This window comes from Homo sapiens, chromosome 14 (genome assembly GCF_000001405.40).
Source record: "Homo sapiens chromosome 14, GRCh38.p14 Primary Assembly".
NCBI lineage: Eukaryota > Metazoa > Chordata > Mammalia > Primates > Hominidae > Homo > Homo sapiens.
The window spans coordinates 50905666-50919238 of record NC_000014.9 but is presented as its reverse complement, the minus strand read 5'-3'; the positions used below and the strand labels follow the sequence as shown (position 1 = coordinate 50919238).

At 42.3% G+C, this 13573-nt stretch overlaps 1 protein-coding gene and 1 pseudogene across 2 annotated transcripts in view, besides 2 other annotated features; one reads left to right on the top strand and one right to left on the bottom strand.

Moving 5' to 3' along the window:
* The window catches only part of PYGL (glycogen phosphorylase L), a 39267-nt gene that overhangs the window by 25245 nt on the left and 449 nt on the right, over positions 1-13573 (top strand). For both annotated transcript variants that reach the window (NM_001163940.2, NM_002863.5), the window contains 12 exons: positions 2134-2277; positions 2505-2597; positions 3268-3414; positions 3740-3903; positions 4424-4538; positions 6109-6210; positions 6936-7083; positions 7203-7261; positions 7368-7509; positions 9137-9344; positions 10284-10418; positions 10902-10968. In NM_001163940.2, the coding sequence (NP_001157412.1) occupies positions 2134-2277; positions 2505-2597; positions 3268-3414; positions 3740-3903; positions 4424-4538; positions 6109-6210; positions 6936-7083; positions 7203-7261; positions 7368-7509; positions 9137-9344; positions 10284-10418; positions 10902-10968 (1524 nt within the window). The remainder of the gene's footprint in view (positions 1-2133; positions 2278-2504; positions 2598-3267; positions 3415-3739; positions 3904-4423; positions 4539-6108; positions 6211-6935; positions 7084-7202; positions 7262-7367; positions 7510-9136; positions 9345-10283; positions 10419-10901; positions 10969-13573) is intronic.
* On the bottom strand, positions 1388-1582 carry MRPL57P9 (mitochondrial ribosomal protein L57 pseudogene 9; annotated as a pseudogene).
* Positions 7772-8971: an enhancer, noted in NCBI's record as "BRD4-independent group 4 enhancer chr14:51376986-51378185 (GRCh37/hg19 assembly coordinates)". NCBI's record gives its function as "activates an origin of replication core promoter dependent on BRD2, P300/CBP, MED14 and CDK7 cofactors, and independent of BRD4, by STARR-seq in HCT116 cells {active_cell/tissue: HCT116}" and the evidence as "EXISTENCE:reporter gene assay evidence [ECO:0000049][PMID:35650434]".
* Positions 8039-8643: an enhancer, noted in NCBI's record as "OCT4-NANOG-H3K27ac hESC enhancer chr14:51377314-51377918 (GRCh37/hg19 assembly coordinates)". NCBI's record gives its function as "activates a minimal SCP1, AML or CMV promoter by ChIP-STARR-seq in primed H9 embryonic stem cells {active_cell/tissue: H9 hESC(primed)}" and the evidence as "EXISTENCE:reporter gene assay evidence [ECO:0000049][PMID:30033119]".

Genomic DNA, 13573 nt, shown 5'->3' with positions numbered 1-13573 from the left:
CTGCCAACCTAAACCCAGTCTGCAGGGGCTTGAAATTCATCCTCCTGTCTTCAGTAAGGACCAAAACTAATTTTACTGGGAAATAATCGTCTGCAGTAACTGACAATATATACTAAGTTAGCATGGGGTAAAAAATTGACTAGATTTGTTGGGTAAAAGGGAGTTCTCAGGATCATGTTTTTGTTTGTTTGTTTGTTTGTTTGTTTTTAAGAGTAAGCTGAAAAATCCTTTTATACTGTAATTACAATAACAAATTCATTCTTCTCCTCAACTTGGCCATAGCCCTGGCATAGGTCAGTGATTATACTTTTAAGTATTAGGGAGTTCAGAGCCCCAGATATTCTATATGCAGACCTCTATGCTCATATTCATTAGTTTTAATAAGACTCTGGTCCAAGGCTTACATTTGGGGGATGGGGTGCTCATCATTTTAAAATTTTTAATTTTAATAGTTTTAGGGGTACAGGTAGTTTTGGTTACATGGATAAGTTCTTTAGTGGTAATTTCTGAGATTTTACGCACCTGTCACCTGAGCAGTGTACACCCAATAAATTGTCTTTTATCCCTCAAGTCCCCAAAGTCCGTTACATCATTCTCATGCCTTTGCATCCTCATAGCTTAGCTCCCACTTACAAGTGAGAACACACGATATTCGGTTTTCCATTCCTGAGTTACTTCACTTAGAATAATAGCTTCCAGCTTCATCCAAGTTGCTGCAAAAGACATTATTTTGTTCCTTTTTATGTCTGAGTAGTATTCCATGGTATATATATACCACATATTGTTGTTGGTTGATGGGCGCCTAGACTGATTCCACATCTTTGTAATTGCGAATTGTGCTGCTATAAACGTGTGTGTGTACATGTGTCTTTTTCACATAATGACTTCTTTTCCTTTGGCTAGATATCCAGTAGTGGGATTGCTGGATCAAATGGTAGTTCTACTTTTAGTTCTTTAAGGAATCTCCATGCTGTTTAACATAGTAGCTGTACTAATTTATATTCCCACCAGCAGTGTAAAAAGTGTTCCCTTTTCACCACATCCATGCCAACACCTATTGTTTTTTGACTTTTTAATTATGGCCATTCTTGCAGGAGTAAGGTGGTATCTCATTGTGATTTTAATTTGCATCTCCCTGACAATTAGTGATATTGAGCATTTTTTCATGTGTTTGTTGGCTGTTCATATATCTTCTTTTGAGAATTGTCTATTCATGTCCTTTGCCACTTTTTCATGGGATTTTTTTTTCTTGCTGATTTGTTTGAGTTCCTTGTAGATTCTGGATATTAGTCAAGGCTCACATTTTTAATAGAAGTTACAGTTTTTAATTCTACGACCAGGTAAAGACAGGGCAGCTCCATGATCTATAAAAATCGAAGTGTGATGGCTCAGGGTTAGGACCATTTCTTGGTGACATTTACACGGTTGAGGTGACCGACAGCAAATCTATGTGGGAGGAACTTGGAAGCTGGCCACCATCATGGCCTCTAAGGCCTCCACCCTGCACACCATGGCCTGGCTGCAATCCTGTCTCGCAGTCATGTAGGGCATTCTCAGCTAGTTGTGGTTCTCCACACGGTCCATGGCTGCCAGTGCTTCCTGATACGTTGCCTGCCAGCAGGAGGGCGGTCATGTGCTGGTTGTGCTCAGCTGCAGGAACTGGGGATAAGGTTGGAGGCCAAGTGTCCTCAGGCTGTCATTAACCTTTTCCTTCACTTCTTCCCTGCTTCCCAGTACTTGGTACTACCAATTCCTGAGCCTTGGGGAGCTCCAATGTACACACTGAGTTGCTTTTTGGCTTTTCCCCACTACCAGGTCAGGATTTGGCTGTCTTGGATCTTCTGAATCACTTACCACTCATGCATCTGTTTTTCAGCCTCTAAAAGGTTGTTGCTATTGTCTTTATCCCAACCTCTTTATCTTTTATCTGTATGCCTTTAGAGAATCCTTTCACTGCCATTTTCATGGGGTCTCAGGAAAGAGCAAAGGCTCACAGTTTGGCATTCAAACCACCACCCCTCAGCAGATGTCCAATGGGCCTTAGTCTTAAAGTTCCTAGTGCAGGAGACACCAGTCACATTTTGGCCACACCTACAATATGAACCATTTTTATTCTATCTCTCTGGCTTGAAGTTTTTTGAAGGGAAGGAGCTAAGATTGAAGCAGGAATACTTTGTGGTGGCTGCAACCTTGCAAGATATCATCCGCCGTTTCAAAGCCTCCAAGTTTGGCTCCACCCGTGGTGCAGGAACTGTGTTTGATGCCTTCCCGGATCAGGCAAGTATTTAGTCTGTGGATGCAGTTAGGGTCCACTGAGGGATTGACTGGGATTTCCTATCAGATTAATTCCTCTCTCTCAGTGCTAACAACGTTGAGCAGGAATAGTGTGCATCAAGTCTTTCATAGAAGGTGGGCATATCAGTGCTTTCTCCAGATGTGTTAGGACAAAGAAGCCAGACCCTGAGCCATCCGTTGCCTTCATGTTGATGTCTTTCCCCACCCAGGTGGCCATCCAGCTGAATGACACTCACCCTGCACTCGCGATCCCTGAGCTGATGAGGATTTTTGTGGATATTGAAAAACTGCCCTGGTCCAAGGTCTGGATAGTTTGGCTTCTTTTTCCTTTAATTAACCAGAATGGCTGCAGTTGAAAGACTGCCAAAAACTCCCTTTTTAGTTTTTCAAAGTAAGTTATTGTTGCTAACTTTCAACAGTTAAAGGTATATTTTCCCTGACGCTGACATTTTCCATCCTTAGAGTTTTATAGGGAGTAAGACTATAAAATAAATGAGCACATTCCTAATGGGACACAAATCAATAGCTATATTAAGGCTTATATTGTGTTTACCATTTTTGTGTTGAAAAAGATTAAAAATTAAATTATCTAACCTCAGAAGACAGCTAATTGAGTGTCCCCATAGCTTTAGAAGTCAGCATTTTACATACTTTGTACTTGCTGAGAGCACTATTTACGTTTTTATCCCTCAATCTGTGTATTTAATAAGTGAAAGACACATAAGGATAGTAGATAGATTGATCAGAATGCTGTCTTAAGTTTCACCAGTAGCTTTACAAATGGCTTCCCCCTCACACCCAGAACATGTTTCTATTATCTGGACTATTCAGGAACTTAGTGGAATTGAGTGCTCTGACTATGCACACTTGGAATGGTCCTGTTGCAGACAGGGCAGGGTTGAAGAAGGGTTTGGCCCGTGCAGTGGGGTGCCCACCTTCAGGGCAAGCAGCTGACTCCTTCCTTTCCCCCAGGCATGGGAGCTCACCCAGAAGACCTTCGCCTACACCAACCACACAGTGCTCCCGGAAGCCCTGGAGCGCTGGCCCGTGGACCTGGTGGAGAAGCTGCTCCCTCGACATTTGGAAATCATTTATGAGATAAATCAGAAGCATTTAGATGTAAGTCATTTTGAGAGATTTTCTCTGTTCATGAGCATAAGATCTTAAGGTGTTACAGATGGCTACAGTGTTCCCTCTTACCAAACATCTTTCAATCATTGATACAGCAAAAGTACTCAAGTCCGAACGGGGCTCCAACAAAGGCAGCTTTTTGAAAGTGCTGAAATGGAGGGATGGCACCTCCATAGAGCTAACTCAACCCCTCCCTGTGGTAGTGAAGTTTATATTGAGTACACCAAAGATTTTGCTTAAGACATGAACAGCGTTATCCCAATGTTGCATTAAACCTGAGTGACCAGCAAGGGCTTTCTCTTCCTTTGGCTAGAGAATTGTGGCCTTGTTTCCTAAAGATGTGGACCGTCTGAGAAGGATGTCTCTGATAGAAGAGGAAGGAAGCAAAAGGATCAACATGGCCCATCTCTGCATTGTCGGTTCCCATGCTGTGAATGGCGTGGCTAAAATCCACTCAGACATCGTGAAGACTAAAGTGTGAGCCTCCATTACTCTGGCAGTGGGTCTGACACTGATCCATTAATGGAATGATGCTACTAAATGCAGGGTTGCACTTAGGGATGAGGAAAGGCCTTGTTCAAATGTTTAAAAGTATTTTCTTCTATACAAAAAACTCTTGCCTAAAAAAAAAAAAGAAAAGAAAAGGAAAGAAAAGAATGCTTTCCTCTCAGAGCCATCTTAATTCTAGACATAGGAGCCAAAACAAACAAACAAACAAAATACCAAAAACTATTCTACTGAAAGTGTAGTATATATGTCAGTGTGAAGAAGTCAGATGGAAGTGACTAGATTTGGAATTTTTCTGGTAATTCTTTTGAGTTGCAAATGAATTTCTATTTAAATGACAGCCATAGCTACTGTCAGCCTGTCCCTCCACCTTTATTTAACCTTTCTAAGCCTGCACTTGGCTTCTTGAATATAACTCCGAACTTTGTCCAGTGTGCAGGACCCTTTGCCGTTTCAGCCAAATTCAGTGATGTGTCTCCTCCATCTCCAGATTCAAGGACTTCAGTGAGCTAGAACCTGACAAGTTTCAGAATAAAACCAATGGGATCACTCCAAGGCGCTGGCTCCTACTCTGCAACCCAGGACTTGCAGAGCTCATAGCAGAGGTAACTGGGAAGTGCTGAGAGGAAAGGAGGCCTGACTCGAATGCAAGAGGCATATGACTATACTTGTAACTTATAAATCCAGTCTGCAGCAGGGCTGGCTTCCTCAGCATGTGGTTTGTGCAGTCACACAGGACTCCATGCTGGGTTTAATTCTCTGCTGTAGTCATCTTGAAATTATTTATTATTATTATTATTATTATTATTGAGACAGAGTTTCACTCTATCACCCAGGCTGGAGTACAGTGGTGCAATCTCTGCTGACTGCAACCTCCACCTCCTGGGTTCAAGCAATTCTCCTGCCTCAGCCTCCCGAGTAGCAGGGATTACAGGCACACATCACAATGCCCAGCTAATTTTTGTATTTTTAGTAGAGACAGGGTTTTACCATGTTGGCCAGGCTGATCTTGAACTCCTGACCTCAGGTTATCTGCTCCTCCTTGGCCTCCCAAAGTGCTGGGAATACAGGCATGAGCCATCACACATAGCCGTCATCTTGAAATTCTTAATTTTTGAACAAAAGGTCCTGCAAATTATGTAGCTAGTTGCAGCTAACAGTATTCATAGGACACTCACATAGAAGATGGTTTTCTCTAGTAAAAGAGGATAATAAAGCTCATATAAATAACTAACAGAACCTGGGTTCCTGGTCACTCTTATAAGTAGATTTCCTGTTTTTAACACTTTAATACCAGTGAAGCTGGCCGGGTGTGATGGCTCATGCATGTAATCCAGTGCTTTGAGAAGCCTAGGCAGGAGACTCACTTGAGGCCAGGAGTTTGAAACTAGCCTGGGCAACATGAGACCCACCCCCACCACCACCACCCGTCTCTACAAAAATAAAAAGATTAGCCAGGTGTTGTGGCATGCACCTGTAATCCTAGCTACTCAGAGGCTGAGGCAAGAGGATTGCTTGAGCCCAGGAGGTCAAGGCTGCAGTGAGCTATGATCACGACATTGCTTTACAGCCTGGGTGACAGGGTGAGATCCTGTCGCCAAAAAAATTAAATAAAAATAAAAATAATTTTTAGGCCGGGTGCAGTGGCTCACACGTGTAATCCCAGCACTTTGGGAGGCCGAGGAGGGCAGATCACAAGGTCAGGAGATCGAGACCATTCTGGCTAACACAGTGAAACCCCGTCTCTACTAAAAATACAAAAAAAAATTAGCCAGGCGTGGTGGCAGGCGCCTGTAGCCCCAGCTACTGGGGAGGCTGAGGCAGGAGAATGGCATGAACCCAGGAGGCGGAGCTTGCAGTGAGCCGAGATCGTGCCACTGTACTCCAGCCTGGGCGACAGAGCGAGACTCCATCTCAAAAAAAATGAATAAATAAATAAAAATAAATAAATAAAAATAATTTTTAAAAACTGCTGAAACTACATTTAAGATACTAGCAAAAGTGTTCTTCTCACATAGACTTTATAGACTCTTCTTTGAGTCAAACTATCCCATGTTCTGTGTGATACGTGAACTACACTGTGGTAGGTGACAGAGAGAAATACTGACAGAAACTGCCCATTTGGACTTGATTACCATCCCCAAATTGAAGTCATCTTTTCCTTTGAATTGAAAGAAAATTGGAGAAGACTATGTGAAAGACCTGAGCCAGCTGACGAAGCTCCACAGCTTCCTGGGTGATGATGTCTTCCTCCGGGAACTCGCCAAGGTGAAGCAGGTGAGCCTTCCAGGTGTGGGTCCCCTCCTGGGCACTCACTGTGAGAGTTTATCCTGTAGTTTTTGTTTATTTTTTGAGACAGAGTCTCGCTCTGTTGCCCAGGCTGGAGTGCAGTGGCACGATCTCGGCTCACTGCAACCTCCGCCTCCCAGGTTCAAGCGATTATCCCGCCTCAGCCTCCCAAGCAGCTGGGATGACAGGCGCCCGCCACCACGCCCGGCTAATTTTTGTATTTTTAGTAGAGACAGGGTTACACTATGTTGGCTAGGCTGGTCTCGAACTCCTGACCTCAAGTGATCCACCCGCCTCGGCCTCTCAAAGTGCTGAGATTACAGCCATGAGCCACCACACCCGGCCTATCCTGTAGTTTTTAAAAACAGACCACCCAGCCGGGCGCGGTGGCTCATCCCTGTAATCCTAGCACTTGGGCAGCCAAGGAGGGTGAATCACCTGAGGTCAGGCATTCAAGACCACTCTGGCCAACATGATGAAACCCCGTCTCTACTAAAAATACAAAAATTAGCCAGGCAGTAGTGGTGTATACCTGTAATCCCTGATAGGATAATCGCTTGAATGTGGGAGGTGGAGGCTGCGGTGATCTGAGATCATGCCACTGCACTCCAGCCTGGGCAAAAGAGTGAGACTCCGTCTCAAAAAAAAGAAAAACCAGACCACCCAATTCTTCTAGGCCAAAAGAGCTCTGGCACCATGCACTGTCTTAACAGGAGAATAAGCTGAAGTTTTCTCAGTTCCTGGAGACGGAGTACAAAGTGAAGATCAACCCATCCTCCATGTTTGATGTCCAGGTGAAGAGGATACATGAGTACAAGCGACAGCTCTTGAACTGTCTGCATGTGATCACGATGTACAACCGTGAGTCAGCCCTGTAGCCAACAAGCCCCCTTGCAGGTGGAAGCAGCAGACTCAGCATAGGTCTCACTGCCCTGACCGTCAGCTGTCTTCCATTTCATCCACTTCTCCATCTTTTTCAGGCATTAAGAAAGACCCTAAGAAGTTATTCGTGCCAAGGACAGTTATCATTGGTGGTAAAGTAAGTTGAATCTATTCAATGGGGACTTGAGGGCTCTAATCTCTTGCCATTCTTCTACTTCATCATGGCTGCCTTCTGTCAATGCGTTTGACCTTCTTCCCCAAAGGCTGCCCCAGGATATCACATGGCCAAAATGATCATAAAGCTGATCACTTCAGTGGCAGATGTGGTGAACAATGACCCTATGGTTGGAAGCAAGTTGAAAGTCATCTTCTTGGAGAACTACAGAGTATCTCTTGCTGAAAAAGGTACTACCCTCATTGCAAAATATGCAGGGGCCAGGGCAAACTCTAGAGATTACATGGTATGAAAGATGGGGCAGCCAACCTCCAGGAGCTAGTAACTTAGGATAGAAGGTGTCACTCTTGTGCAGAATAAGGGCCTACGGTAAGAGGTTTTAAAGTGACCCAAGTCACAATGAAATTGATGTCCTGGAGTCAGTATCACAGGATTATACTTGCAAGTACATTTTCTTCCAAGCCAGTGAGAGCTATGTGCTGGGGGAGGCAGCCCTGGGGTTTCAGCATCATTCAGAACCCGCTCTATAAAACAGAGGAAAGGTCTTCAGTTCCCAGCCCCAGTTTTGCAAGAGAACACCAAATCCCCAGTCTTCAGATATTTCTTTGGTCACCCTGTGAGAAGAAGGGCTGTCACTTGCTCTTGTATCAATAATAAATGAGGGCAGATGTGAGGCTGCCAAAGCACGAGGCTTAGATGTGCCTCACATGGGCACTTCAGCATCAAGCATGATGCTCCCACATGGGGACAGCCAGATGGGCAAGAAGCCAGTGTCCCTTTCTCTTCCACTGGGACCTTTGGTTATTTGGGTCACAAGCTCACAGAGCACCATCCACATGCAAATGCCCAACTGTGTATTCACCCACTTCCCAAACTGAAAAGGTAGAAAGGGAGCTTTTTCTTTTTGTGGTGTTTTTAGGTCCTCTGATGTTACTGTTTAAGAACTCTCTGCATAAAGGGAGAAGAGCCAGGTTCCTAGGGATGCAAAAGAAGATACATCTAATCCACAAATAAGCTCTCACAGTAAAGCAGAAAAGTGGTCCTGACCTTTGTAGTCAAAGGAAGTGCTTCAGGCAGCTCTAATTTGCGTGCAAATCAGCCTGAAAGGTCAGAGGCTAGATGTCTAGCCCCAGGCACACCTCAATTACGTGTGGCTTATTTCCCTGCAGGAAAAGTGGAAGGAAGGAGGTGAGAAGTAGAAGGAATGCAGACAATCCAGTCTCCTCAGGTTGCCAAAGAGGAGTCCTGGAGGGACACTCTGAATGTTATGGATCAAGAGAGAGAAGTTCAGCCTGGGCAGCATAGGGAGACCCCATACATACAAAAATTTTAAAAAATTAGCTGGACATGGTGGTGCTCGCTTGTAATTGCAGCTACTTGGGAGGCTGGGGCAGGAAGATTGCTTGAGCCTAGGAGGTCAAGGCTGCAGAGAGCTGTAATCGCACCACTGCACTCCAGCCTGGGTGACAGAGAGAGACCCTGTACCAAAAAAGAGAAAGAAAAAAAGAGAAATTTCAATATATTTTATAAAGTAGAAGAAATAAAAATAAAACTGTAACAAAAATTGGAAGGAATAAAAGGAAGAAGAGAAATGTAGTATCAATGTTTGTCGCAGTCAATAGATACTCTTCAAAGTTTATAGCTCGAGAAAGAAATACAAGCATATAAAATGGACAAAAGTGGTTGCCTGAGTCAAGGGGAAAGAGTGTGATCTGCCTTCTAGACCATTTGAATGTTTATCTTAATGTGCATGTATTACTTTAATTATCAAAACAGCCCAACTTAATAAATGCTTCAATACAATACAAGCAGATCTAGACAGACAAAATTACTAATTTTAACTTACCTTTCTTGCAGTCATTCCAGCCACAGATCTGTCAGAGCAGATTTCCACTGCAGGCACCGAAGCCTCGGGGACAGGCAATATGAAGTTCATGCTAAATGGGGCCCTAACTATCGGGACCATGGATGGGGCCAATGTGGAAATGGCAGAAGAAGCTGGGGAAGAGAACCTGTTCATCTTTGGCATGAGGATAGATGATGTGGCTGCTTTGGACAAGAAAGGGTAAGAGAATAGCTTCTCTTTGCTAGGCAGGACTGCCCCTCCCCCCTAGAAGGTATGTGACCTCAGAGGGCTTCCTGCCCACACCGATATCCCACTGAAATTGGATCACATAAGAGGTGGCAGCAGAACATCTCCCACGATGAGGCAGGAGAGCCTCCTGGCCACAGATTAATATTATTAAACCCAGCAAATAAAAGTACAGACACATGGAGGAGTTGCTATTTGTTATCGGCCATTGCAGAGCTGGCCTCAAAGAGCTATTTTTCCTCCGTATGTATGATTTTTACTTTGATCAAAAGATGAACCAGTTTCTAGTTGGAAGGGTTGCCTATAATTTAAATCATGATCTAGTGCTCCTTTAAGATATCAAAGAAATGCACTAAAATGTGATAGAGAATAGATACGGGTGTACAGAAGTAATTGGAAACATTTATTTTCACTTCATATCTGGATGGGTTTATTAACCTGAGTTCAAGCACAAAATAAAGAGTACTGCCCAAAGAAGTAACATTTGGAGGATGTTGAATATACTTCCTGACCCTTGGAAGTCAGTTTCACTCAGTAGCAACAACTTTTGAGAATCTGTGGATCCAAAAAGCAACTGATCTACTTAATACAATGTTCATTTAAAGCCATAAAGTCTGCTTTGAAATGGACCTTGCTGTATTCTACCACATCAGACTCTTGATGTTTGACTAGAGTTTTCATTATCTATTGTTCTTAGTGTCTTTGGTTATAAGGAATCAAATTTACAGGAAGAAAAACTTACAGATCTAGTTAAAAGTTATATATACTCATGGTGAAATCTATAATGAAGTCTTTGAATGCTAGTATTTCTGAATGTATTTTTTCACAGTGAATGCAGTGTCTAGTGTGTTGTTAATCACACAACACAATAACAGAGCCTTTTTTTATCACCCACCCACCCCTACCCCACAGGTACGAGGCAAAAGAATACTATGAGGCACTTCCAGAGCTGAAGCTGGTCATTGATCAAATTGACAATGGCTTTTTTTCTCCCAAGCAGCCTGACCTCTTCAAAGATATCATCAACATGCTATTTTATCATGACAGGTGAGTTCCCATAAGAAGATGGTGCTATTTGGATCATGAAAGGGGGACAAGAAAATCTTAAACCAACCAACTCTAAAACCAACAAGAAAATCTTAAACCAATCTTAAACCAACTTAAACCCACTCATGTAGATTAGCATAGATTAGCGTGATCTGCTCAGGTAGTTTAGGCTTGGGGAAAAAGTTAGATATTCTCCACCAGCGATGCCAGTAAGGTTTAAGAATAACACACACAAATCTGGTTCTCTTTTTCTCCTTCCACTGATATTCCCAACTTCCAAATGCATCCCAGTGATGACATTCTCACATGTGAGAACCATAAGAAGGTTGAGGGCTGGTTAAAAGTCTTACAAACAGAAATATGAATTTGGTAAACCAGCCATGCCTGATATTAAGCAAAAGATGATTTTACATGGAATTTTAGCATATATCTATTAATGAAGATTTTGACTGTTTTTTTCCTCTTCCACTCACAAAATAAAAGGTTTAAAGTCTTTGCAGACTACGAAGCCTATGTCAAGTGTCAAGATAAAGTGAGTCAGCTGTACATGGTGAGTAAATTGCCAAGATTTATAAAGAAAACCAGTTTACTATGATTCATTAAAATGTGGGTTTTTTAATTAAATGCAAATATCAGATCCCCATGTAATATCAGATCCCCATTAAGCAATCAAAAAAAAAACAACAAAAACAAACAAACAACCACAACAAAAAAAAAAACCTTGTCTTTTCCCAAGTTCAGGCCAAGGTTGAGATTTGACATTTCAGCAGGAGTTGTAATTTTTTTTTTTTTTTTTTTTTGAGACAGATCTCGCTCTGTCACTCAGACGGGAGTGCAGCGGCGTGATCCTGACTCACTGCAACCTTCACCTCTCGGCCTCCCAAGTAGCTGGGATTATAGGCACGTGCCACCACACTTAGCTAATTTTTGTATTTTTAGTGGAGATGGAGTTTCACCGTGTTGGCCAGGCTGGTCTAGAACTCCTGACCTCAGGTGATTCACCCGCCTCTGCCTCCCAAAGTGCTGGGATTACAGGTGTGAGCCACCATGCCCAGCCAGTTGTAAATTTTTTAATATCCAAGTTTTTTAAAAGTCACAAATAATTCAATATTTTTTGAGCACCCACTCTGTAGCAGACATGTCCTGGAAGCTAAGGAAATAAAGCCTCAGAGGGGCATTAGGCGTCTTTTTTATGCCGGGCACTGTGCTGGCACTGAGAACACAGCATGAGCAAAGTTGAGGTCTCTCCCTCCCTCCCCTCCCTCAAGGAGCCTGTTTGAACATCGAGATTCTTAACCAGAGGTACACATCAGAATCACCAAGGTAGCTTCATCATAGTACAGATGCCAGCCCCCGCACTGAGAGATTCTTTCCCAGTAATGGGTGGGGTCATCAGTATTTGAGAAACCTGCCATGATGATTCTAAGGCTAAAACATGGTTTTTTAAGATAAGGACTGACCCCTATTCTCTGAAAATTGCAAAATAGGTACCTCTTCTGGACTTCTCATGGAGGGGGCTGTATCAATAGAATATAAATTCGTAGAAAGAGAAAGGTGTTCATAATTGAATTTTTAAAAAAAGAAAGAAGAATAAGGAAGACAATACTATACTGAGGGGAAAAAAAAGGGATGGGTAGAGCCATGTGAATAAGCCTCTGCATGCAAAGTTATACGCTTTATCAAACAACTCTCTAGCTGTGTTTTGTAAATATGTAAAAAGGTTGATCATCTCTGATAGGAGAGACTTTTAGTGAATTTCAGATACCCTAGAGGAATGGATACTGGAGGGGGCTAGCTCTGTGCCAAGACTCCAGGGTGGGTTTTACTAACATTTCTTTCTACTCCTTTCCCAAGGCAGATAAAAGGGTAGTTCCTACTGTCATCCTAAATGTCCCACTGGGATTTTAAAAAGGATCATTCAACGCCTGTGCTGCTTTACAGCCCTTATCTTCTAATAGAATAATGGCCAGTCCCCCAGTGGCATATAGACCAGAATAAGTTCAAGTTAATGGCTACAAACAAGCAGGGCAGTGCTAGAGCTAAGCTCAGGGGCTCACTACCTGCTTCCTGTACATTGGAGAGAAAAGCCATATACAGGCCGCAAGAATGCAAAGACACAGGGAAGAGAACGGCCACCTCAAGACAGATCAATAAAACAGCACAGGAAAGAAAAATATGAACAAGGGCAAGGACAAATGTGAATGTCTCCTCTGTTAAAATTATGGCCCAAATCCAAACGATGCTCATCTAGAAACCCAGCATTTGATTCGGTCTTTCTTGTTCATTAGTGCTAATTGCAGCTTTTTACTCTTAACAATGATTGTATTGTTGAGACTTAGTAAACATGACCCATATGACTGGGAAGTCTATTCATTATCCATTTAAATAGTTAAAGAAAATGAAGAGAGAAAGCTTTTATCCTCCTCTTATTACAGGAAGCTTCCAAAGTCTGAATAAACAAATTTCAGATGCTGTTTTGCTGTACCTTAAGGAATGATGGTAGTTTTAGTCTTTCTCGTAAGCATTTATAATGCATTGATAACATTTTTGAATAATGTTCTGTTCACTTCCAATACACTTTTAGAGTTCCTTACAAAATTAAGAGGCTATAAAATAAATTCCTTCTTATCATATTCTTTTATATAAAAATTATGAGATTTTGATATATTTTTATTAAGGATAAAGACTCAATTGACCCTGTTTTGAAGCCCCAGTGGAGTGTTTGGGACTCAGTGTAAGCCTACTAGGGTGCGTATCTTCAGAAAGAACAAGAAAAGCTAAGTAGGTCAATAAAGCCTCTCATTGAATTGTTTGCCTGCATTATAGCTAACATTTTAGAGTAGTGTTTTTCAAACTCTATGAGCCATAGGATAAGTCTCTTGACATGGCATTTAGCAGACAATGGATTCCTCCCCTATAGTTTAAAGGGAAGCATCTTCATTCATAAGAAAGCATGGGAAATATGGCTTACATGCCAAAACATTGTAACCATAGCAGGAATTGCCAACTAGGCAATGTACATCCATGGTTTCTCTTAGAGTGAAAAATACCTTTTTTTCATTCCTAAGAGAATTATACTCTAAATATGAGAAAAGTGCATTCTATTCTACCTCTCAACAGACAAACAAGAATATTTGTAATTTACTATAATTTAT